This window comes from Homo sapiens, chromosome 6 (assembly GCF_000001405.40).
Source record: "Homo sapiens chromosome 6, GRCh38.p14 Primary Assembly".
Taxonomy (NCBI): Eukaryota; Metazoa; Chordata; class Mammalia; order Primates; family Hominidae; genus Homo; species Homo sapiens.
The window spans coordinates 160,209,394-160,235,458 of record NC_000006.12 but is presented as its reverse complement, the minus strand read 5'-3'; the positions used below and the strand labels follow the sequence as shown (position 1 = coordinate 160,235,458).

At 41.2% G+C, this 26,065-nt stretch overlaps 1 protein-coding gene across 1 annotated transcript in view, besides 1 other annotated feature; it reads left to right on the top strand.

Moving 5' to 3' along the window:
- The window catches only part of SLC22A2 (solute carrier family 22 member 2), a 42,067-nt gene extending 23,363 nt beyond the window's left edge, over positions 1-18,704 (top strand). Inside the window, exons 10-11 of the mRNA NM_003058.4 lie at positions 10,655-10,754; positions 17,961-18,704. Of these exons, the coding sequence (NP_003049.2) occupies positions 10,655-10,754; positions 17,961-18,027 (167 nt within the window). The 3' untranslated portion in view covers positions 18,028-18,704. The remainder of the gene's footprint in view (positions 1-10,654; positions 10,755-17,960) is intronic.
- Positions 7,745-8,673: an enhancer, noted in NCBI's record as "OCT4-NANOG hESC enhancer chr6:160647818-160648746 (GRCh37/hg19 assembly coordinates)". NCBI's record gives its function as "activates a minimal SCP1, AML or CMV promoter by ChIP-STARR-seq in primed H9 embryonic stem cells {active_cell/tissue: H9 hESC(primed)}" and the evidence as "EXISTENCE:reporter gene assay evidence [ECO:0000049][PMID:30033119]".
- Positions 18,705-26,065: the final 7,361 nt, after the last annotated feature.

The window sequence follows — 26,065 nt, the reverse complement described above, 5'->3', positions numbered from 1 at the left end:
TATCCTCTAACCCAAAAAGAGGAAATCAGCCCATTTCCTATAGGAATCTTATCTGTCAGTGGGGAATGGGGACATTTTCATAACTTCTAGGTGGCCAAGAGCATGCTTTTCTGATGTAAACTTGCAAAGAGCTGAGGATCTCCCCATAACTGCCATTAGCTATCCCTGAAACTATATTTCCTACCTAGTCACACATCAAAGCTCTCTCATAATGTATAGTAATTTCTGATACCCTCCAAGTCAAAAACATCAGATAATGCAATGAAAAATAGAACAGACCCTTAGATTTTGAGATGGATCTATCCACTTTAATTCCTTGGGCTTTATGAGGAAAACAGAGGTTTTACCAAAAGGAGGTCTGTGATGTCTCCTCTGTTTTTCCCAAGGAGTTCCAGGCTGTTAGAGCTTGAACAAACTGACTTTTAACCATAGCACTCAAATCCTTTTAAATATCTTATTACCTGACTTTAGCCATGCCAAACAGCCGATATTTTTTGCTCAGAGAAAGGAAAGTTCAAGATGGTTTGTGGAGAGGAAGAGAATTAACCAGTGGTAAAGGTTATACAGATTTTAAACCAGAAAGGATTCATTCCCTAAGCCAGGATTGAACCCTGGGCCACCATTGTAAAATGGTGAAGCCTTAGCTATTGAGCTACAGCATTGGCTGGTTTCCGTTGTTCTTCCCAGAAGGATTTTAGAGCAGCCAATTCTGAGCTTGCAAAGTCTTTTAACTGTTCAAGATAATTTTTAGGGATAAATATGACATGAACCCCCAAATTCCTATCTGTTGGATGGTGGAAACCAAGAGAAAGAACTGCCATGTGGTTACAAGTTCAAGCTCCCAAGGACATTTTTCAACATGTGGTCTCTGGGCACAATGAAAGAGCAGACAGTTACCCTGAGTAACAGAAAAAATAGAAAAGAGAAAGGAGAGAAAGGGAGAAAAGCATTGTCTGGTGGGGCGGCAGGGGCAGCTCCTCCTGTGGCAGGGTGGGGAAGGAGAGGTGCTCAGGGAGGCCAGAGAAAGACCCACCCATTACAGTAACACTGTTCAGGTGACCACTTGTCGGTAGCGAAGGGATCTTTTCCAGCAGTCCTATCCGCTCTCAAGCGTCCCTCTTAGGAAGAAATAACTTTCACTCGTGTCCGTGTGAAGAGCCCACCAAACAGGCTTTGTGTGAGTAACAAGGCTGTTTATTTCACCTGGGTGCAGGCAGGCTGAGTCCGAAAAGAGAGTCAGTGAAAGGAGATAGGGTGGGGCCGTTTTATAGGATGTGGGTAGGTAAAGGAAAATTACAGTCAAAGTGGGTAGTTCTCGGCAGGCAGGGGCGGGGGTCACAATGTGCTCAGTGGGGGAGCTTTTCAGCCAGGATGAGCCAGGAGAAGGAATTTCACAAGGTAATATCATCAGTTAAGGCAGGAACAGGCCATTTTCAATTCTTTTGTGATTCTTCAGTTACTTCAGGCCATCTGGATGTATACGTGCAGGTCACAGGGGATATGATGGCTTAGCTTGGGCTCAGAGGCCTGACATTCCTGTCTCCTTATATTAATAAGAAAAATAACAAAAAACAAAATATTGGTAAAGTTTTGGGGTGGTGAAAATTTTGGGGGGTGGTATGGAGAGATGATGAGTGATGTTTCTCAGGGCTGGTTCGAGTGGAATTAGGGGCAGCGTGGGAACCTAGAGTGGGAGAGATTAAGCTGAAGGAAGATTTTGCGGTAAGGTTGTTAGAAGGCGCATTTGTCATATAGAATGATTGGTGATGGCCTGGATGCATTTTTGTATGAATTGAGAAACTAAACAGAAGACACAAGGTCCAAATAAAAGAAGGAGAAAAATAGGTATTAAAGGACTAAGAATTGGGAGGACCCAGGACATCCAATTAGAGAGTGTCCAAGGGGGTTCAGTGTAATTACTTGTTTGGTTGGTGAGTTTTTGGGCTCTATTCTTGACAGAGTCCTTTTTTTAAAGTTGGTGGCTGAGCTTCGTGAGGTGTGTTTTTAAAAGACCATTAGTCCATTTTACCTTTCCTGAAGATTGAGGATGATAAGGGGTATGAAGGTTCCACTGAATACCAAGAGCCTGAGAAACTGCTTGGGTGATTTGACTAATAAAGGCTGGTCCGTTATCAGACTGTATAGAGGTGGGAAGGCCAAAACGAGGAATTATGTCTGACAGAAGGGAAGAAATGACCATGGTGGCCTTCTCAGACCCTGTGGAAAAGGCCTCTACCCATCCAGTGAAAGTGTCTACCCAGACCAAGAGGTATTTTAGTTTCCTGACTCGGGGCATGTGAGTAAAGTCAATTTGCCAGTCCTGGGCAGGGCAAATCCCCGAGCTTGATGTGTAGAGAAGGGAGGGGGCCTGAGAAATTCCTGGGGAGTAGTGGAATAGCAGATGGAACACTGAGAAGTGATTTCCTTGAGGATAGATTTCCACGATGGAAAGGAAATGAGAGGTTCTAAGAGATGGGCTAGTGGCTTGTAACCTACATGGAAGAGACTACGAAATGATGACAGAATAGAATGGGCCTGTGAGGCTGGAAGGAGATCCTTGGTCAAAGAACCATTTGCCTTACGTGGGAAAAGATTAATATGTGGAAGTTTCAGTGGGGAGTAGGTGGGAGTGGTCAGATGAGAAGGAGAAAAACTGCCGTGAGGGATAGAAGTTGGAATGCTAGCTGCTTTTTTAGCTACCTTATCAGCATAAGCATTGTCCTGAGTGATGGGATCTGATGCCTTTTGATGGCTGCTTTTTTAGCTACCTTATGAGCATAAGCATTGTCCTGAGCGATGGGATCTGGTGCCTTTTGATGGCCTTTGCAGTGAATGACTCCAGCTTCCTTTGGAAGTAAAGCAGCTTTGAGAAATGTTTTTTTTTTAAAGAGGCATTAATGATGGAGGACCCTTGCATAGTGAGAAATTTCTTTCTGCCCATATGGTGGTGCAGGATATGGAAGGCATATTTAGAGTCAGTATTAATATTGATTTGTAGTCCCTTTGCAAGAGTGAGGGCCCAAGTTCAGGCAATGAGTTCAGCTTGCTGAGAGATAGTGGGGGGCAGAGCGGTAGCCTCAATGATAGATGTGGAAGATACTATAGCATAGCCTGCCTTTGCTGGTGTGTGGCGATTAAGCCTGGTGGAACTGCCATTGATAAACCAAGTGTGATCAGGGTGAGGAACAGGAAAGAAGGAAATATGGGGAAATGGGGTGAATGTCAGGTGGATCAGAGAGATACAGTCATGGGGGTCAGGTGTGGTATCAGGAATAATGTGGGAGGCCAGATTGAAGTCCAGGCCAGGAACAATGGTAATTGTGGGAGACTCAACTAAGAGTGAGTATAGCTGAAGGAGCCAGGTGAGAGGAAGAAAATAGATTTTGGAAATTATGAGAACTGTAGAGAGTGAGCTGAGCATAGTTTGGGATTTTGAGGGCCTCTAAAAGCATTAACACAGTGGTAGCCACCACACACAGACATGAGGGCTAGGCTAAAACAGTAAGGTCAAGTTGTTTGGATAAAAGGGCTACAGGGCGCAGTCCTGGTCCTTGTATAAGAATTCCGACCACACAGCCCTGCACTTCAGCTGTATGTAATGAAAAGGGAGTGAAGAGTTACGGAGAGCCAGCATAGGAGCAGCTTTTAGGGCTGTTTTTTAAGGAATGGAAAGGGGAGTGGGGAAAGGATTTAGGATTTATGGGGTCAGCTAGGTTTATCTAGAACAGAATAATGGGTTGTGGAGGGAGGTATTAAGGATAGGAGAGTATATGGGTTTGGCACCTCGGGGTGGATAGGCAAAACAATTTGGTTGATAAGGCGCAGATCCTGAACTAACCTGTAAGGCTTGTCTGGTTTTAGGACAGGTAAGATGGGGGTATTGTAAGCAGAATTTATAGGTTTTAGAAGCCCATGCTGTAGCAGGTGAGTGATAACAGGCTTTAATCCTTTTAAAGCATGCTGCAGGATGAGATATTGGCGCTGAGTAGGGTAAGGGTGATTAGATTTTAATGGGATAGTAATGGGCATGTGATCGGTTGCCAGGGAGGGAGTAGAGGTATTCCATATTTGTGGGTTAAGGTTGGGGGATACAAGAGGAAGACGCAAAGGAGGCTTTGGGTTGGGAAGAAGGACGGCAATGAGATGTGGCTGTAGTCCAGGAATAGTCAGGGAAGCAGATAATTTGGTTAAAATATCTTGGCCTAATAAGGGAACTGGGCAGGTGGGGATAACTGAAAAAAGAGTGCATAAAAGAATGTTGTCCAAGTTGGCACCAGAGTGGGGGAATTTTAAGGGGTTTTGAAGCTGGGCCATCAATACCCACAACAGTTATGGAGGCAAGGGAAATAGGCCCTTGGAAAGAAGGTAATGTGGAGTGGGTAGCCTCCGTATTGATTAAGAAGGGGACGGACTTACCCTCCACCATAAGAGTTACCCAAAGCTCAGTGTCCATCATGGTCCAGGGGGCTTCCGAGGTGATTGGTCAGCATCAGTCTTCAGCTGCTAAGCTGAGCAGATCTGGGGAGGAGTCAGTCAGAGAGCCTTGGGCTAGAGCTTTAGGGGCCCTAGGACTGGCTGCGGGGCAAGTTGGACAGTCCAATTTCCAGTGGGGTCCTGCACAGATGGGACATGGCTAGGAGGAAGCCCAGGCTGCAGGCATTCCTTGGCCCAGAGGCCAGATTGCTGGCACTTGTAGCAAGCTCCTGGGGGAGGAGGTTCTGGAGGAACCCCTGGCAGCTGCGGTTCAGGCATTTGGAGTTCTTGTGTGCTGGAGATGTGTCTGGGGTTTGTCTCACAGTGGAGGCAAGGAATTGCAATTCAGAAATACATTGCTACTTGGCTGCCTCTACTCTATTATTGTACACCTTGAAGGCAAGGTTAATTAAGTCCTGTTGTGGGGTTTGAGGGCTGGAATTTAATTTTTGGAGCTTTATTCTAATGTCAGGAGCTGACTGGGTAATAAAATGCATATTTAGAATGAGATGGCCTTCTGACCCTTCAGGGTCTAGGGCTGTAAACAGTCTCAGGGTTGCTGCCAAAAGGGCCATGGACCGGGCTGGGTTTTTATATTTGATGAAAAAGAGCCTAAATGCTAACTGATTTGGGAGAGGTCAGATAAAGAAAAAGGAACATTAACCTTGACTACGCCTTTAGCTCCAGCCACCTTTTTAAGAGGAAATTGCTGGGCAGGTGGGGGAGGGCTAGTTGTGGAACGAAACTGTAAACCAGACCGGGTGTGAGGAGGGGAGGTGAAAAAAGAATTATAGGGTCAGGGAATAGAGGCTGAGGAAGAATTGGGACCTAGCTCGGCCTGGCAAGGAGCAGCCTGGTGAGGAGGGGACAGGTCAGATGAGTCTGTAGAAAAGGAAGATTGGAAAGACCCAGTGATGATTAGGGTTGGGACTGAGAGAACAGGCAGGAGGGAAAGAAGCAAGATTTGGGATGAGTTGCATTGGGAACAGAGACTAGGGAGGGACCAATGTGTAAAAGAATGCCTGGATATCAGGGACCTCAGACCGTTTGCCCATTTTACGACAAGAATTATCTAGATTTTGTAGGATGGAAAAATCAAAAGTGCCATTTTCTGGCTATTTGGAACCACTGTCGAGTTTGTATTGGGGTCAAGCAGTGTTGCAGAAGAAAATAAGATGCTTAGATTTTAGGTCAGCTGAGAGTTGAAGAGGTTTTAAGTTTTTGAGAATGCAGGCTAAGGGAGAAGAAGGAGGAATGGAAGGTGGAAGGTTGTCCATAATGAAGGAGGCAAGCCCAGAGAAAAGAGAGAGTAGAGACACAGAGAGAAGGAGTGGGGGGTGCTTGCCCCCCAGAAAAGTGTAAAAGGGGTGGGAGGTGCTTGCCCCCCAGGAAAGTGGAGAAGGGGTGGGTACATGGAGAGAAGGGGTTGGGTGAGCAGCCCTGGGCTGCAATGTGGGTGAGCAGCCAAAGCAGGCGCCCCCGCAATTCACTTGCCACCAAGGAATGTGGGTGAATGACCAAGGCAAGCATCCCCGTGGTGATCAGACACCAATGAAATGTGGGTAAATAATCAGGCAGGCATCCCCACATGATTAAACCCAAGTCCGTGACTGGTGCTGGAGCTTCAGGTCCACAGATAAAATGCATCATCTCTGTCTCTACGAGAAAAGGAAAGGAACTGAAATTAAGAGAAGGGAGAGATTGAAGTGTGGTGCCAAGATTGAAAGAAGAAAGAGGTTGAGGGATAGTGAGAGAGGTTGGAGAAGAGAGTGAAGAGAGGCCACTTACCAGATTTAAAATTGGTGAGATGTTCCTTGGGCTGGTTAGTCTGAGGACCAGAGGTCATAGGTGGATCTTTCTCACAGAGCAAAGAGCAGGAGGACAGGGGATTGATCTCCCAAGAGAGGTCCCCTGATCCGAGTCACGGAACCAAATTTCACTGGTGTCCATGTGAAGAGACCACCAAACAGGCTTTGTGTGAGCAACGAGGCTGTTTATTTCACCTGGGTGCAGGAGGTCTGAGTCCAAAAAGACAGTCATCGAAGGGAGATAGGGGTGGGGCCGTTTTATAGGATTTGGGTAGGTAATGGAAAATTACAGTCAAAGGGGGTTGTTCTCTGGTGGGCAGGGGTGGGGGACACAAGGTGCTCAGTGGGGGAGCTTTTGAGCCAGGACGAGCCAGGAGAAGGAATTTCACAAGGTAATGTCATCAGTTAAGTCAGGAACAGGCCATTTTCACTTCTTTTGTGATTCTTCAGTTACTTCAGGCCATCTGGATATATACGTGCAGGCCACAGGGGATATGATGGCTTAGCTTGGGCTCAGAGGCCTGACAATTACTATCCATGTTTCTATGATCCTGTATATGCCTAATCCTGTCACCCATAGACATCAGCAGAGTGCAAGGGAAATTAATTCAAAGAAAATAGCAGTTAACATCCCATAGTGCCAAACTAGTTCTTAGCTGAGGGGGACTTTACTGAGAGGGACCTCTAATCCCCTCAGTCTTAGGAAAGACTCTAGCCTTTCTAAGTTAGTCCTCAAACCCAAGTTCAGTCAAGTGTCTTTGCCTTTTATTAAGAGGGACTTTTAACCCTCTCTGTCTTAGAAGAGACTCTAACTCCCCTAAATTGGGCCTCTAACCCAATCACGTCCTTTACCTGGGTACGCCAGCACTTACCCAAAGTTAATTAATCAGTGCTGCAGTCTGTTTCCTTTGCGCTGGCGGAGGGGAGGTCTCCTCAGTATCCTCCCTTCAGGGTTCACCAGAAAGATGTTATTGGAAAGGTGTCCGATCCAGACCCCAAGAGAGGGTTCTTGGATCTCACACATGAAAGAATTCAGGGCAAATCCATAGAATAATGTGAAAGCAACTTTATTAAGGAAGTCAAGGAATAAAGAATGGCTACTCCACAGGCAGAGCAGCCCTGAGGGCTGCTAGTTGCCCATTTTTATAGTTATTTCTTGATTATATGCTAAACAAAAGGTGGGTTATTAATGAGTTTCCTGTTTTTTGACCATATAGGGTAACTTCCTGATGTTGCCATGGCATTTGTAAACTGTCACAGTACTGGTGGGAGTGTAGCAATGAAGACGACCAGAGGTCCCTCTCATTGCCATCTTGGTTTTGGTGGGTTATAGCTGGCTTTACTGCAGCCTGTTTGACCAGCAAGGTCTTTATGAGCTGTATCTTGTGCTGACCTCCTATCTCATCCTGTGACTTAGAGTGCTAACTGTCTGGGAATGCAATCCTGTAAGTCTCAGCCTTATTTTACCCAGTCCCTATTCAAGAGAAAGTTGTTGTGTTTCAAATGCCTCTGACATGTCGAGGAAAAAAGCTAAATTCTGTAAAATATTTAAAGAGTTTATTCTGAGCCAAATATGAGTGACCACATTCTGACCAAATATGAGTGACTTGCCTGAGGCACAGTCTCAAGAGGTCCTGAGAACATGTGTCCAAGGTAGTTGGATTACAGCTTGGTTTTATACGTATTAAGCAGACAAAAGCCATCCATCAATACATGCGAGGTATCCATTAGTTTGGTCCAGAAAAGCAAGACAACACAAAGCAGGGGCTTCCAGGTCATAGGTGGATTCAAAGATTTTCTGATTGGCAATTGCTTGAAAGAGTTAAGTTATTATCTGAAGGTCCGGAATCAATAGAAAAGAGTGCCTGAGTTAAGATAAGTGGTTATGGAAACCAAGGCTCTTATTATGTAGATGAAGTCTCATAGGTGGTACCCTTTGAGAAAATCAATGGCAAATGTTTCCTATACAGATCTTTAAAAGGTGCTAGACTCTCAGTTAATCTCTTCAGGATTGGGAGGGTCTGGAAAGGGAAAGATCTAGTTATGTTAATAGAGATTCTTTACAGATGCAAATTCTCTCCACAAAAGATGGCTTTGCCAGGCCATTTCAAAATAGGGCAAAGAAATATATTTTGGGGTAAAATATTTTAATTTTTTTTGTCTGTCATGTGATATTATTCTATGGTCAGGCTGGAATTTGCTATCTTATTGCTACAAAGAGTCTGTTGTGTCAGTCTTAAGATATGTTTTAATGTTAACACTGGTGAGTTGTGCTTGAACTCCAAAAGGGAGAGGGTATAATGAGATATGTCTGACCCCCACCCCTTTCCATCAGGGCTTGAATGGGAAGGGGTGGGGGTGAAAAACCTTGAAGTTTTTCAGTTCAATTCAATCAGTTGGGGATCTCCGAATTTTATTTTTAGTTTACATTTGTGAGGTGGTATTGTTAAAGAAAAACTTCTGCTGAATTAAATTTTTTTAAGAGTTTAATTAAGCAAAGAATGATTCGAGAATCAGGCAGCCTCCTGAGCCAGAGTAGGCTCCGAGATTCCAACACAACCACAGGGTGAAAGAAGATTTATGGACAGAAAAAGAAAATCACGTACACAAATCGGAAGTGAGGTACACAAATAATGGGATTGGTTACAGCTTAGCGTTTGCCTTATTTGAACATGGTTTGAACAGTTGGCCGCATTTGACTGGCTAAAACTTGGTGATTTTGTAACCACCCAAGGGGTTCACCTTGCCTGCTGCCTAGACAGTCAATTTCTCCAGACAGGGGAATTGCAATAGAGAATGAGTAATTCACACAGAGCCGGCTGTGTGGGAGACTGGAGTTTTATTATTACTCAAATCAGTCTCCTGAGCATTTGGGGAGCAAAGTTTTTAAGCATAACTTTGTGGGTGGGGGAAGCCAGTGAGCCGGCAGTGCTGATTGGTCAGGGGTGAAATCATAGGGAGTCAAAGCTGTCTTGCGCTGAGTCAGTCCTTGCTGGGGGCCACAAGACCAGATAAGCCAGTTTATCAATTTGGGTGGTGTCAGCTGATCCACTGAGTGCAGGGTCTGCAAAATGCCTCAAGCACTGATTTTAGCAGCAGTTTAGAAAGGGTCAGAATCTTGTAGACTCCAACTGCATGACTCCTAAACCATAATTTCTTATGTTGTGGCTAATGTTAGTCCTACAAAGGCAACCTAGTCCCCAGGCAACAAAGAGGTCTCCTTTCGCTGTGGTCATCTTTGTTTTAATCTATAAACTAAGTTTCTCCCAAAGTTAGTTCAGCCTATACCCAAGAATGACAAGGACAGCTTGGAGGTTAGAAGCAAGATGAAGTCGATTAAGTTAGATCTCTTTCACTGTCTCAGTCATAATTTTGCAAAGGTGGTTTTAATTGGCACAAGAGTAGGCTATAGTGTGTTTACCATTCCATCTAGATTATAGTTCACAATGTATAGAGAAACCTTTAGGCCAAACTTAAAATATGTAAGGAGGCAGCTGTAGGCTAAACTTGACTTGACAGTATGTTATCCCAATTTATATAGGAATGTCTGGAGCATCAGAAAGATTACAGAACTTCCCAAGGCCTTGAGACCAGTATGTAAGGGGCCAGAGTTGGAGCCCAGGCCCTCAGAGCTTGGGATCTGTGCCCTGCAGCTTCTAATTCAGCCATTTTCTGAGGGTGTAAAAATAGAGACTGGCATGCAGTGTTTTGAGACCTCAAAACTAGTAAAGAACCCACATCCTATTTTCTGTATTCTATTATTGTGAAACACATATAAATACAACTTTAAAAGATCAAAACTTTTATCAGAATCTAAAGAAACAAAAACATGTAAGTGTTTATTATTAAAGATTATAGCTAGAGACAAAGAAAAAAAGGAATAACGGGAATTTAATGAACACCTGAATTTTAACTAAAATCCTGGCTATACTTTTTAGTGCTCTTACATAGTAATAGATACATAATTCATTACTTTTATTTGCTAGAAATGATCCAAGTTTCTGACTTATTTTCCTTACTAAGTGATTTAAACTGGAAGGGTTACAGTCCTCCTTTTCATACAGTTAATTTTTTGCAGAGTTATTTTCTAACTCCAAAGTATCTTAATATGGTGGCAATGTCCTCTACCCTAGAATAACCTTGACTCAAAATGTTAAGTATTTCATTTCCCTATTAGGAATAGTAATTCAATGGAGTTTGGAACTGGTATAATATTTATAATGGAAAATACAGCAGTCAGAGATGGCAAAGGAATCTGTAAATAAGTATAGAAAAATGCTAAAAAAAAGTTTTAAACAAAAATAAGGGAAACTCTAATTATAGACCTTGAGTTTTTCAGTTCTTAATGTGATATTCATCTGTTTGGCTTTCAGGCGTGCTTGGCTTGGTTGCTGGAGGTCTGGTGCTGTTGCTTCCAGAAACTAAAGGGAAAGCTTTGCCTGAGACCATCGAGGAAGCCGAAAATATGCAAAGGTAGGCAGTTGAAAGTTCTAAATGAATTGTTCTATAAAGGTTTTAAGACAACCCTATAGCCATTTGGAAAGAATTAAATTGACTTTATACTTCACACCATACACTGAGATAAATTCAAACTAAATCAAAGACTTGAAAGCATCAAAAAAATTAGTAAAATTACAAAGACATTATACGAGAATTTCTTTAAACTTTCACGTGGAGAAGGTCTTTCTAAATATGACCCAAAAAATCCAGAATCCATAGAAGAAAGGTCAATATGTTTGCTTTCATAAAAATAAAATATTCTGCGTTAAACAACTACTATAAGCTAAAAATAAAATTATAAACTTGAAGAAAATATTTACTACTCTACATTGGGCTAATTTTCCTAACAATTCCATAAAAGCGACCACCTAATAGAAAAAAAAAAATAACAGATTTGAGCAAATAATTCAATGAAAAGGAAATAAAAACAGCTCTTAAATATATGAAAATATGCTCAACTTCCTTCATAGTAAGAGAAGTTCAAATTAACACTGCACTAATAACTACTTGGATTGTCAAAACTAAAATTACTTGGTAACACACTATGTTGGGGAAGAATGGGGAGAAATGTAGTCTCCCGTGTTGCTGGTAGGAATTAGATGCCTCTATAATGGACAATGCAATAGTAGTATAAAAATTACAAACATGGGCTGGGTGCAGTGGCTCATGCTTCTAATCCCAGCACTTTGGGATGCTGAGGCGGGTGGATCACAAGGTCAGGAGATCGAGATCAGCCTGGGTAACATGGTGAAACCCCGTCTCTACTAAAAAAGTACAAAAAAATTATCTGGGTGTGGTGGTATGCGCCTGTAATCCCAGCCACTGGGGAGGCTGAGGCAGGAGAATTGCTTGAAACTGGGAGGCAGAGGTTGCAGTGAGCTGAGATCGTGCCACTGCACTCCAGCCTGGGCGACAAAGCAATACTCTTGTCTCAAAAAAATAAAAATAAATTAAATAAAAATTATAAACATGTATATCCTTTAACCTAGTAACTCTACACCTCTAGAAGTTTACGTGTACAAAGTGATATATGTACAGGACTAGTCATTAAGGCAATTTTTTATAACAAGTGTTGGAAACAACCTAAATGACCATGAATTAGAACACCAGTTAAATAAATGATATGCCATTCTGTAAAATTATACAGCCATTAAAAAGAATGAGGCCATTTCACATACGCTGACAAGGAAAGTTCTCCAAGATATATTGCTAATGGGGGAAAAAGCAAAACATAGAAATGTATATATTCTATCATTTGTGTAAAAATAGTGAAAGACATATATATAAATACTTGTAGCTCTGGAAAAATATACAAGAACCGTAACACTGGTTGTCTATGGAATTGAGTGACTGTGAGATACAGGTAGAAGGGAGACTTCAATGCTTACCTTTTTGTAATTTTGAATTTTGGACCATATGAACCCATTCAAACAGTACATTAAAAAATTCTAGATAAAGACAAACCTATCTGACACTCTCCCCACAAGTTTGTTTATACAGTATGTTTAGATATTTTTATTTATTTTCTTCTTACTCCACTTTTGGCCTGCTGATACCACAAACAACTGATTTTTATTCATTTTACCAAACCTTCATGTTTAACATTTTCAGTACTTGGGCAAAATGCTGGTAAATCACAGTGGTCTGAGGCTTTTCCTAGAACTTGAGTCTTAGAGTTGGAAGAGGCCTTTGAATCCGAGCGGAGGTCACACACTCGCAGCCTGCAGGCCACCAAGTTCTCCAGTGCTTTCTTTGGCCTACAAAGTATTTTTTTAAAGTGGGAAATTCCACATAAACTGGATTTCCAGGATCTGTTTTTAAAAAGCAGAAGATTTGGTAACACTGAGAAGATATTTCCTCTTGTTGGCAATTTGTAGGAGCTGAATGATCGCTTGGCTTTCTCAAGGGCATGCCCTCTGCAGGAGGCCACAGTCCCCACTGTTTCCTATTGTCTTTGGTACATTGTATGATCTGCTTGGTGCATGCAGACATTTGAGTTGGAGACCTTTCATCTAAACCAACCACCTCCCACCCCGTACCCCTCTCCCCATGCAGCTTCCCACACACATGGGCACCTCCCGTCAAAGACAGTCTAAATCCTGTTTACTGCTGTATCACTGGAACTCAGCACAGTGCGTGGCATACACAGAGCAGGAGCTTACCAATTATTTGTGGAATAAATGCTGAAGTTCCTTCTACAGCATGCCTAATTGAAGTTTCTTTCTCTAGCCAGCGCCAGTGCCAGGCAGGCAGTAATATGTGTGGTGAAGAGCAAGTCCTGTAGAGCCTGAGCCCTGCCGTCACATTTCCCATGTGTGTGGCTTTATTGCCTTAATGCCTCAAAGCCTCAGTTTCCTCATCTGTAAATGGGGACAACAGTACCTACTCACTGGATTAAAGAAGAAAATATGCCTGACACTAATTAAGTGTCGATTGGTTCCTGATTAAATTGTTATGGTTCCTAAGGGCACTAAACCTGTCCTAGTTACAAATATAACCTGTGAACTTATACCTAATACCTTATCTCACTTCTTAAGCCTGTTTTCCTTTCTGTAAAATGAGGATAACAATAGCTAACATTTACTAAGAGCTCTACCCAGTGCTTTCCATGCCCTTCCCATGCACCTTCTTTTATTGCACTTCATTTTATTGTGCTTTGCAGATATTGTGTTTTTTAACAGATTGAAGGTATACAGCAACCCTACATTAAGCAAGTTTATTTGCAGCATTTTTCCAACAGCAGGTGCTCACTTCATGTCACTGTGGCATGTTTTGGTAATTCTCACAATATTTTAAACTTTTCCATTATTATCATATCTGTGATGGTGATCTGCAATCAGTGATCTTTGATACTGCTATTGTAATTGTTTTAGGGCACCACAAACCATGGCTGTGTAAAACAGCAAACTTAATTGATAAATGCGTGTGATCTAACTGTTCCACACACTGAGCATTCCCCCATCTCTCTCCCTCTCCTTGGGCCTTCCTATGGCCCAAGACACAACCATATTGAAATTAGGTCAATTAATAGCTCTACAATGCCCTCTAGGTGTTAAATGAAAGGAAGCGTTGCAAGTCTCAACTGTAAAGCAAAAGGCAGAAATGATTAAGCTCAATGAGGAAGTCATGTTGAAAGCCAGCATAAGCTGAAAGTGAGGACTCTTGTACCAGGTAGCCAAGTCGAGAATGCACAGGAAAAGTTCTTGAAGGAAGTATAAAAATGCTACAAATGAGAAATGAAACAGCCTTATTGCTGATATGGAGAAAGCTTGAGTGGTCTGGATAGAAGATCAAACCGGTCACAACATTCCCTTAAGCCAAAGCCTAACCCAGAACAAAGCCCTAACTCTTTTCCATTATATGAAGGCTGAGACAGGTGAAGAAGTAGCAGAAGAAAAATTCGAAGTTAGTAAGTTTGGTTCATAAGGCTTAAGGAAAGAAGCCATCTCCATAACTTGAAAGTGCAAAATGAAGCAGCAAGTGCTGATGTAGAAGCTGCAGCAAGTTATCCAGATCTAACAAAGATCACTGATAAAGGTGATCACACTAAACAACAGATTTTCAATATAGACACAACAGCCTTCTATTGGAAGAAGATGCCATTTAGGACTTTCATGAAGAGCGAGGAAAAAATCAATGTCTGGTTTCAAAGCTCGAAGGACAGGTTGACTCTCTTGTGAAGGGTGAATGCAGCTGGTGACTAGAAGGTGAAGCCAGTGTTCATTTACCATGAAAACCCTAGGGTCCCTAAGAATTATGCTAAATCTACTCTGCTTGTGCTCATGGAATAGCAAAGCCTGTGTACAGATAACAGTACATCTGTTTACAGCATGGTTTATTGACTATTTTAAGCCCGCCGTTTAGACCTACTGCTTAGAAAAGAAGATTGCTTTCAAAAGATTACTGCTCATTGACAATACATACACCTGGTCACCCAAGAGCTCTGATGGAGATGTACCTAAAGATTAATGTTGTTTTAATGCCTGCTAACACAACATCCATTCTGCAGCCCATGGATCAAGGAGTAGTTTTGACATTCAAGTATTATTATTTAAGAAATATACTTTATAAGGCTATAGCTACCGTAGATGGTAATTCCTCTGATTGTTCTAGGCAAAGTACATTGAAAAACCTTCTGGAAATCTTTCACCATTGTAGATGCCACTAAGAACATTTGTGGATCATTAGAGGAGGTCAAAATATGAACGTTAATGGGAGTTTTGAAGAAGTTGATTACAGCCCTCATGGATAACTTTGAAGAGCTCAAGACTTCAGCATAAAAAGTGTCTGCAGATACAATAGAAATAGCAAAAGAACTAGAATTAGAAGTAGAGCCCGAAGATGTGACTGAATTGCTTCAACCTCGTGATAAAACTTGAACAGATGAGGAGTTGCTTCTTACAGATGAGCTTAGAAAGTGGTTTCTTGAGATGGAATCTACTCCTGGTGGAGATCCTGTGAACATTGTTGAAATGACAACAAAGGATTTAGAATATTACATAAACTTAGTTAACAAAACAGCATCAGGGTTTGAGAGGATTGACTCCAATTTTTAAAGAAGCTCTACTGTGGGTAAAATGCTATGAAATAGCATTGCATGCTATAGAGAAATCTTTCATGAAGAGAAGAGTCAATCAACATTGAAAACTTCATATTCTTGTTTTAAGAAGTTTCAACAGCCACTTCAACCTTCAGCAACCACTGTCTTGCTCAGTCAGCAGCCATCAACATAGAGGCAAGAGCCTCCACCAGCAAGATTACCACAAATTGAAGGTTCAGATGATTGTTAGCATTTTTAAAAAATAAAGTATTTTTAAATTACATTGTTCTCTCAGACATAATATTGCACATTTAATAGACTACAGTATAGTGTAACCGTAACTTTTATATGAACTGGGAAACCAACAAAAATGTATGATTCACTTTATGGTAAAACTTACTTTATTGTGGTAGTCTGGAAGTGAATCCCCAATATCTCTGAGGTATGCCTGTATTACCTCATTGAATCCTTGCAGCAACCCTATGAAATAGGCGTTATTATTATTAACCCCACTGACAACTGGAAAAAAAAAAAAAACAGGCCAGAGAAAGTAAAGGACTTGCTCAAAACCACACAGCCAATCAGTGACAAAGCCAAAGTTTCAATCCTGGCAGCTAGATTTTGTGGCCCATGAATTTGTCTCACCATCAGAGGGTTGGGCTCATGAATGGGACAGTGCGACGAAGCACCCGTCGCAGTGCTTGGTATTTAGTTAGTAGTCACTCACCGGTGGCTGATGTTGTTGCTGCTGCTGCTGTTGTTGCTGCTGCTATTGTCATTTTTCTTGTTGCTGTTGTTGCTGCTATTGCTGTTGTTATTGTTACTGCTGCTATTGTTTTTGCTGTTGCTATTACTGTTGTTATTGCTATTGTACTTATTTCTACTGTTGTTACTGTTGTTGCTGCTGCTGTTATAATTATTGCTGCTGTTCCTACTGCTGCTACTGTTGTTGCTGCTGTTGTTGCTGATGTTGCTGCTGCTGTTGTTACTGCTGGTGTTCGTACTGCTGTTGTTGCTGCTGCTGTTATTGCTTCTGTTGCTGTTATTGTTGCTGATGCTGCTACTGTTGCTATTGCTGTTGCTGCTACTATTACTGTTGCTATTGCTGCTGCTACTGCTGCTGGTGTTGCTGCTACTGTTGTTGCTACTATGGTAATGATTGCTGCTGCTGCTGCTGCTGCTGTTGCTGCTATTACTACTGCTACTTCTGTTGCTGCTGCTGCTGTTATTGCTGCGACTTCTGTTGTTGCTACTGCTGATTTTGCTATTTCTGTGGCTATTGTTGCTGCTGTTGTTGCTCTTAATTGTGATGGTGTTGATTCTGTTGCTATTGTTGCTGCTATTGCTAAAATTGTTGCTGCTGTTGTTGCTATTGTTGGTTTTGTTGTTACTGTTTCTGTTGCTTTTGTTATTGTTGCTGCTGCTGTTGCTGTTGCTGCTGCTGCTGATGCTGTTACTGTTACTATTGCTATTACTGATACTATTGTTGCTGCTGCTGTTGCTCGTGTTGCTACTGTTGCTATTGCTGTTACTACTGAGGATCCTATTGTTGCTATTGCTGTTGCTGCTGATGGTATTACTGTTGCCATATCTGTTGCTGCTACTGTTACTGTTGCTGTTGCTATTACTATTGTTGCTGCTGTTGCTTTTGTTGTTGTTACTGCTGCTGTTGTCACTGATGCTTCTACTGTTGCTATTGCAGTTGCTGCTGTAATTACTGTTGTTGCTGCTGTTGCTACTATTGCTGCTACTGTTGCTGCTGTTCTTGCTTTTGTTGTTCCTGCTGCTGCTTCTATTGCTGCTATTTCTACTGTTGTTGTTTCTGCTGCTGTAGTTGTTGTTATTGTTGTTGGCAGAGAGACCAGAGGAGCTCAACTGACTTGATTTTACCTCCCCATCTGGAGCTTTAGAGAATTCCAAAACCATAGGGTGATTTGGGTAAGCTTCTGCCATCCCTCGTCTCAGATTGGATTGGTCCAGAAAACGAGACAATACTAACCAACTCCAGGTGGGGGAAATTCTGTGAGATGCTGGGTGGCTGGGAGCAGCCCACAGCTGATTCAATATTGCTATAAACAGGAACAGGTCCAAAGGGCATGGCTGGGAACAACAAAATGAAGAAAGCAGCATTTCTACGATGAATATCAGCAATGTCCTGGCATTCACGAAGACAAGATGATTGAGAAAACTTGCAATTTGAACAAATGTTTTAATTGCAGTCTTCATTTATCAAGCTGTTGAAAAGTAAATACACTTTGAAAAAATAATTTTTCAAATTCTATTTGCATAACTAATGATAACAAGATTTTGCAATCTTCATCTTTAACTGATATAAGATTAAGTTTAGACTTTACCCACATTCTCTATTACAGAGAAAGGTGAACACCCTAAAAAAGGAACTTATTTAGGCCAGTACCAATTCAACAAGATAATTTTAGGAATAACTCTGTCGACATGAGTTATCAACAAGTTCTGTCCATTTTCTTTGTGAGAACCACCACTCAGAACACATTGCAAGACTAATCCTGAACAAAGTTTATAATCATTTGTTGTTCCTCTCATTTATTACCCACTTTATTTTGGTTTTCAGCCTCCTCATAATTTCTTTCTCCCCTCTCCATTTTTATTTCTTATTGCAGACCAAGAAAAAATAAAGAAAAGATGATTTACCTCCAAGTTCAGAAACTAGACATTCCATTGAACTAAGAAGAGAGACCGTTGCTGCTGTCATGACCTAGCTTTGATGGCAGCAAGACCAAAAGTAGAAATCCCTGCACTCATCACAAAGCCCATACAACTCAACCAAACTTACCCCTGAGCCCTATCAACCTAGGTCTACAGCCAGTGGAGTCTATTGTACACTGTGGAAAAATACCCATGGGACCAGATCCTGCCAAATTCTTCCAGCTCACTTTATTCTCAGCATTCCTAGGACATTGGACATTGGTTTTCTGGAGGGTTTTTTTTCCATCTTTGTATTTTTTTAAATTTGATTCTTTTCTTTGCAATGCTATCTAACCAGAATACATAGGGGAACTGTGGGCTAGGCAAACAAAATAGAAAAAAGTGTGAAAAACAGTAAAGTTGGGAGAGGAGCATCTATTTTCTTAAAGAAATAAAACACCCAAAACAATATAAAGTTGTCCAGAATGTATGTCAAGAATTTTAGATAGGCCTTTCAGTAACACAGGTGAAGAAATTTTTAAAAATACATTGATTATTATCTAGGTTAGACTTAAAGTGAATCTCAAATAAAAGAATCAGGAATACAACTTAAGTGATCATGAGGTCCTTCCATATTTAGATTGGGTAAGCATGAATGTGTATTTTCTACAAAAGACCTTGAGAAGAGTTCAATAAAAAATGTTAGCATTATAAAACCATTGATGATCATTTTTTAGTCTGGTAAAAATGTCTTAACATTTGTGGATTTTAAAATACATGTTAATATTTTATAAAAGTAATATTATGAATACATTTTTAAAAGCTAAATATCATAAGACTTATAATGAAAACAAAATTTCCTTGCCCTATTTCACCTCTACTAATTTCTCAGAGAAAATTTTCAACTATTTTAGGTGAATTTTCCCCCTGAGATTCATCTCCATATATATAAATAACTTCTTTATATTGACATTTCTTGATTTTTCAGCTTAAATATTATCTATTTACTTTTTAATATAACAGATAAAAATGTAACTCTCTTCATCTCTCCCTTCATCCCAACACACAGCTTTTCTGTTCCCTTTAAACTTTGTCACATTTTTATTAAATCAAATACTGAACTTTCATGTCATTATGGCTATTAACACTGAGTCATTTTGTGTACTATGATTATGCTTCCTTTCTTTTACAGTATCTTGCTTTTCCTGAACACTGGTTTTTATTGTTTTGTTTTCTACATATTCATCATTAATTTTCCTCCAAACTATCTGACAGAATAATAGCTCTCCCCTCAATGTATTCAAATACGTCACGCATTGGTTTCTCTTCTTTTCTTTTGTTCTGAGAGACCTCCCACATGGAGCCCCCAGCCCTCCTGCTCCACTTTCGCCTGGTGGATCTCTAGGTCTGCAGCAGAGCTGTTGCCCTGGGCTCTCTTTCCCCACCTTCCTGAGTGTTCCTTTTGTCTCCTGTCTCCTAGATGCCATCTCCTTCTTGATTTTTGTCACATTTTAAAGAAGCATAATTTCCAATAGCTTCCTGAGAAAGCAGGTATGCCTGTCCTCCTGCACTCTCTTCTGTGGCATCAACTGTTGAAACCTGAAAATGACATTTCTCAGACCCGTCACCACCTGGCTTCCTATACAGTGGGTCACACTGGCCAGAGATGGGAAGGAAGGAGCAAGAGAGAAGAGAAACATTGATATTATAGGCTGTAGAATTGCACCATAGGCTGAATTCATACCCTCATCAGGTCTCTTAAACAAAAGTTACAAAATGGGTAGGAAGGAGGGAATCTCAGAACTGGAATGGAGACACTGACTGAACCCAAATGAATCTGAAGATCTTGAACCCCCATGATATAGTTAGGCTCTGTGTCCCCACTCAAATCTCACCTTGAATTGTAATAATCCCCACGTGTCATGGGAGGTACCAAATGCAACGTAATTGAATCATGGGGGCAGGTTTTTCCTGTGCTGTTCTTGTGGTAGTGAATAAGTCTCATGATATCTGATGGTTTCATAATAGGGAATTCCCCTTTACATGCCAGGACTCCTCTTGCTTTCTGTCATGTAATACGTGCTTTTGCTCCTCCTTTGCTTTCCACCACAATTGTGAGGCCTCCCCAGCCATGTGGAACTGTAAGCCAAAACTTTTTCCTTTGTAAATTACCCAGTGTGGTATGTCTTTATTAGTATCATGAGAACAGAATAATACAATAAATTGGTACCAGTGTCAAAGAAAAGTGTTGAACTCTATAAAATATTTAAAGAGATTTATTCTGAGCCAAATATGAGTGACCATGGCTCGTGACACAGCTCTCAGGAGGTCCTGAGAACATGTGCCCAAGGTGGTCGGGGCACAGCTTGGTTTTATACATTTTAGAGAGGCATGAGGCATCAATCAAATGCATTTAAGAAATACATTGGTTTGGTCCAGAAAGGCAGGACAACTCAAAGTGAGGAGGGCATGGCGGGGGCTTCCAGGCTATAGGTGAAGTTAAACATTTTCTGGTTGACAATTGGTTGGGTTTGTCTAAAGATCTGGAATTGATAGAAAGGGAATGTTCAGGTTAAGATAAAGATTGTGGAGGTCTGTTCTAAGACGATCAAATAGAAACGGCTCTAGTCTGCAGCTCCCAGCGTGATCAATGCAGAAGATGGGTGATTTCTGCATTTCCAACTGAGGTACCTGGTTCACCTCATTGGGACTGGTGGGACAGTGGGTGCAGCCCATGGAGGGCTGAAGCAGGGTGGGGTGTCACCTCACCTGGGAAGCGCAAGAGGTCAGGGGATTTCCCTTTCCTAGCCAAGGGAAGCCATGACAGACTGTACCTGGAAAAACGGGACACTCCCGCTTAAATACTGCACTTTTCCAACAGTCTTAGCAAACAGCACAACAGGAGATTATATCCCATGCCTGGCTCGGTGGGTCCCATGCCCTCAGAGCCTTGCTCACTGCTAGTGCAACAGTCTGAGATCAACCTACAAGGCAGCAGCCTGGCAGTGGCAGGAGCATCTGCCATTGCTGAAGCTTGAGTAGGTAAACAAAGCTGCCAGAAAGCTCAAATGGGGCAGAGCCTACTGCAGTGCTGCGAGGCTTGCTGCCTCTATAGACTCCACCTCTGGGGGCAGGGCATAGCTGAATAAAAGGCAGCAAAAACTTCTGCAGACTTAGATGTCCCTGTCTGACAGCTCTGAATAGAGCAGTGGTTCTCCCAGCACAGTTTTTGAGCTCTGAGAATGGACAGACTGCCTTCTCAAGTGGGTCCATGACCCCCATGTAGCCTAACTGGGAGACACCTCCCCGTAGAAGCTGACTGACACCTCATATAGGCGGGTGCCCCTCTGGGACAAAGCTTCCAGAGGAAGGATCAGGCAGCAATATTTGCTGTTCTTCAATATTTGCTGTTCTACAGCCTCTACTGGTGATACCCAGGCAAACAGGGTCTGGAGTGGACCTCCAGCAAACTCCAACAGACCTGCAGCTGAGGGACATGACTGTTAGAAGAAAAACTAACAAACATAAAGCAATAGCATCAACATCAACAAAAAGGACATCCACACCGAAACCCCATCTGTAGGTCACCAACATCAAAGACCAAAGGTAGATAAAACCACAAAGATGGGGAGAAACCAGAGCAGAAAAGCCAAAAATTTTAAAAGCCAGAGCAACTCTTCTCCTCCAAAGGATCGCAGCTCCTCACCAGCAGCGGAACAAAGGAGGACGGAGAATGACTTTAACGAGTTGACAGAAGTAGGCTTCAGAAGGTCGGTAATAACAAACTTCTCTGAGCTAAAGGAAGGTGTTTGAACCCAACGCAAGGAAGCTAAAAATCTTGAAAAAAGACGAATGACTAACTAGAATAAACAGTGTAGAGAAGACCTTAAATGACCTAATGGAGATGAAAACCATAGCATGAGAACTACATGACGCATGCAAAAGCTTCAGTAGCTGATTTGATCAAGTGGAAGAAAGGGTCAGTGATTGAAGATCAAATGAATGAAATAAAGCAAGAAGAGAAGTTTAGAGAAAAAACAGTAAAAAGAAATGAACAAAGCCACCAACAAATATGGGACTATGTGAAAAGACCAAATCTATGATGGATTGGTGTACCTGAAAGTGACAGGGAGAATAAAACCAAGTTGGAAAACACTTTTCAGGATATTATCCAGGAGAACTTCCCAAACCTAGCAAGACAGGCCAACATTCAAATTCAGGAAATACAGAGAACACCACAAAGATACTCCTCGAGAAGAGCAACCCCAAGACAGATAATTGTCAGATTCACCAAGGTTGAAATGAAGGAAAAAATGTTAAGGGCAGCCAGTGAGAAAGGTCAGGTTACCCACAAAGGGAAGCCCATCAGACTAACAGTGAATCTCTCAGCCCAAACTCTACAAGCCAGAAGAGAGTGGGGGCCAATATTAAACATTCTTAAAGAAAAGAATTTTCAACGCAGAATTTCATGTGCAGACAAACTAAGCTTCATAAGTGAAAGAGAAATAAAATCCTTTACAGACAAGCAAATGCTGAGAGATTTTGTCACCACCAGGCCTGCCTTACAAGAGCTCCTGAAGGAAGCACTAAACATAGAAAGAAAAAACCAGCACCAGCCACTGCAAAAACATGCCAAATTGTAAAGACCATCAATCCTAGGAAGAAACTGCATCAATTAACAGGCAAAATAATCAGCAAACATCATAATGACAGGATCAAATTCACACATAACAATATTAACCTTAAATGTAAATGGGCTAAATGTGCCAATTAAAAGACACAGACTGGCAAATTGGATAAAGAGTCAAGACCCATCAGTGTGCTGTATTCAGGAGACCCATCTCATGTGCAAAGACGCACGTAGGCTTGAAATAAAGGGATGGAGGAAGATCTACCAAGCAAATGGAAAACAAAACAAAAAAAAAACGAGTTGCAATCCTAGTCTCTGATAAAACAGGCTTTAAACCAACAAAGATCAAAAGAGACAAAGAAGGCCATTACATAATGGTAAAGGGATCCATTCAAAAAGAAGAGCTAACTATCCTAAATATATATGCACCCAATACAGGAGCAACCAGATTCATAAAGCAAGTCCTTGGAGAACTACTTAGAGACTTAGACTCCCACACAATAATAATGGGAGACTTTAACACCCCACTGTCAATATTAGACAGATAAACGAGACAGAAGGTTAACAAGGATATCCAGGACTTGAACTCAGCTCTGCACCAAGCAGACCTAATAGACATCTACAGAACTCTCCACCCCAAATCAACAGAATACACATTCTTCTCAGCCCCACATTGCACTTATTCCAAAATTGACCACATAGCTGGAAGTAAAGCACTCCTCAGCAAATGTAAAAGAATAGAAATCACAACAAACTGTCTCTCAGACCACAATGCAATCAAATTAAAACTCAGGATTAAGAAACTCACTCAAAACCACACAACTACATGGAAACTGAACAACCTGCTTCTGAATGACTACTGGGTAAACAATGAAATGAAGGCAGAAACAAAGATGTTCTTTGAAACCAATGAGAACAAAGACACAACATACCAGAATCTCTGGGACACATTTAAAGCAGTGTGTAGAGGGAAATTTATAGCACTAAATGCCACAAAAGAAAGCAGGAAAGATCTAAAATTGAGACCCTAACGTCACAATTAAAAGAACTAGAGAAGCAAGAGCAAACAAATTCAAAAGCTAGCAGAAGGCAAGAAATAACTAAAATCAGAGCAGAACTGAAGGAGATAGAGACACAAAAAAAACCCTTCAAAAAATCAATGAATCCAGGAGCTGGTTTTTTGAAAAGATCAACAAAATTGATAGACTGCTATCAAGACTAATGAAGAAGAAAAGAGAGAAGAATCAAATAGATGCAATAAAAAATGATAAAGGGGATATCACCACTGATCCCACAGAAATACAAACTACCATCAGAGAATAGTATAAACTCCTCTGTGCAAATAAACTAGAAAATCTAGAAGAAGTTGATGAATTCCTGGACACATACACCCTCACAAGACTAAACCAGAAAGAAGTGGAATCTCTGAATAGAACAATAACAGGCTCTGAAATTGAGGCAATAATTAATAGCCTACCAACCAAAAAAAGTCCAGGACCAGACAGATTCACAGCCGAATTCTACCAGAGGTACAAAGAGGAGTGCTAGTACCATTCCTTCTGAAACTATTCCAATCAATAGAAAAAGAGGGAATCCTCCCTAACTCATTTTATGAGTACCGCATCGTCCTGATACCAAAGCCTGGCAGAGACACAACAAAAAAAAGAATTTTAGACCAATATCCCTGATGAACATCAATGCAAAAATCCTCAATAAAATACTGGAAAACCGAATCCAGCAGCACATCAAAAAGCTTACCCAGCACGATCAAGTTGGCTTCATCCCTGGGATGCAAGGCTGGTTCAACATACCCAAATCAATAAATGTAATCCATTACATAAGCAGAACCAAAGACAAAAACCACATGATTATCTCAATAGATGCAGAAAAGGCTTTTGGCAAAATTCAACAGCGCTTCATGCTAAAAACTCTCAATAAACTAGGTGTTGATGGGACGTATCTCAAAATAGTAAGAGCTATTTATCACAAACCCACAGCCAATATCATATTGAATGGGCAAAAACTGGAAGCATTCCCTTTGAAAACTGGCACAAGACAGGGATGCCCTCTCTCACCACTCCTATTCAGTATAATGTTGAAAGTTCTGGCCAGGGCAATCAGGCAAGAGAAAGAAATAAAGGCTATTCAATTAGGAAAAGACGAAGTCAAATTTTCCCTGTTTGCAGGTGACGTGATTGTATATTTAGAAAACCCCATCATCTCAGCCCAAAATCTCCTTAAGCTGATAAGCAACTTCAGCAAAGTCTCAGGATACAAAGTCAACATGCAAAAATCACAAGCATTCCTATACACCATTAACAGACAAACAGAGAGCCAAATCATGAGTGAAATCCCATTCACAATTGCTACAAACAGAATAAAATACTTAGAAATACAACTTACAAGGGATGCGAAGGACCTCTTCAAGGAGAGATACAAACCACGGCTCAAGGAAATAAAAGAGGACACAAACAATGGAAGAACATTCCATGCTCATGGATAGGAAGAATCAATATCGTGAAAATGGCCATACTGCCAATGGTAATTTGTAGATTCAATGCCATCCCTATCAAGCTACCAATGACTTTATTCAGAGAATTGGAAAAAACTACTTTAAAGTTAATATGGAACCAAAAAAGAACCCACATTGCTGAGACAATCCTAAGCCAAAAGAACAAAGCTGGAGACATCACGCTACCTGACTTCAAACTATACTACAAGGCTACAGTAACCAAAACAGCATGGTACTGGTACCAAAACAGATATATAGACAAATGGAACAGAACAGAGGCCTCAGAAATAACACCACACATCTACAACCATCTGATCTTTGACAAACCTAACAAAAACAAGAAATGGGGAAAGGATTCCCTACTTAATAAATGGTGCTGGGAAAACTGCCTAGCCATATGTAGAAAGCTGAAACTGGATACCTTCCTTACACCTTATACAAAAATTAATTCCAGATGGATTAAAAACTTAAATGTTACACCTGAAACCATAAAAACCCTAGAAGAAAACCTAAACAATACCATTCAGGACATAGGCATGGGCAAGGACTTCATGACTAAAACAGCAAAAGCAGTAGCAACAAAAGCCAAAATAGACAAATGGGATCTAATTAAAGGGCTTCTGCACAGCAAAAAAAAACTACCATCAGAGTGAACAGGCAACCTACAGAATGGGAGAAAACTTTTGCAATCTACCCATCTGACAAAGGGCTAATATCCAAAATCTACAAAGATCTCAAACAAATTTACAAGAAAAAAACAACCCCATCAAAAAGTGGGCAAAGGATATGGACAGACGCTTCTCAAAAGAGGACATTTATGCAGCCAACAGACAAATGAAAAAATGCTCATCAACACTGGTCATCAGAGAAATGCAAATCAAAACCACAATGAGATACCATCTCACACAAGTTAGAATGGCAATCATTAAAAAGTCAGG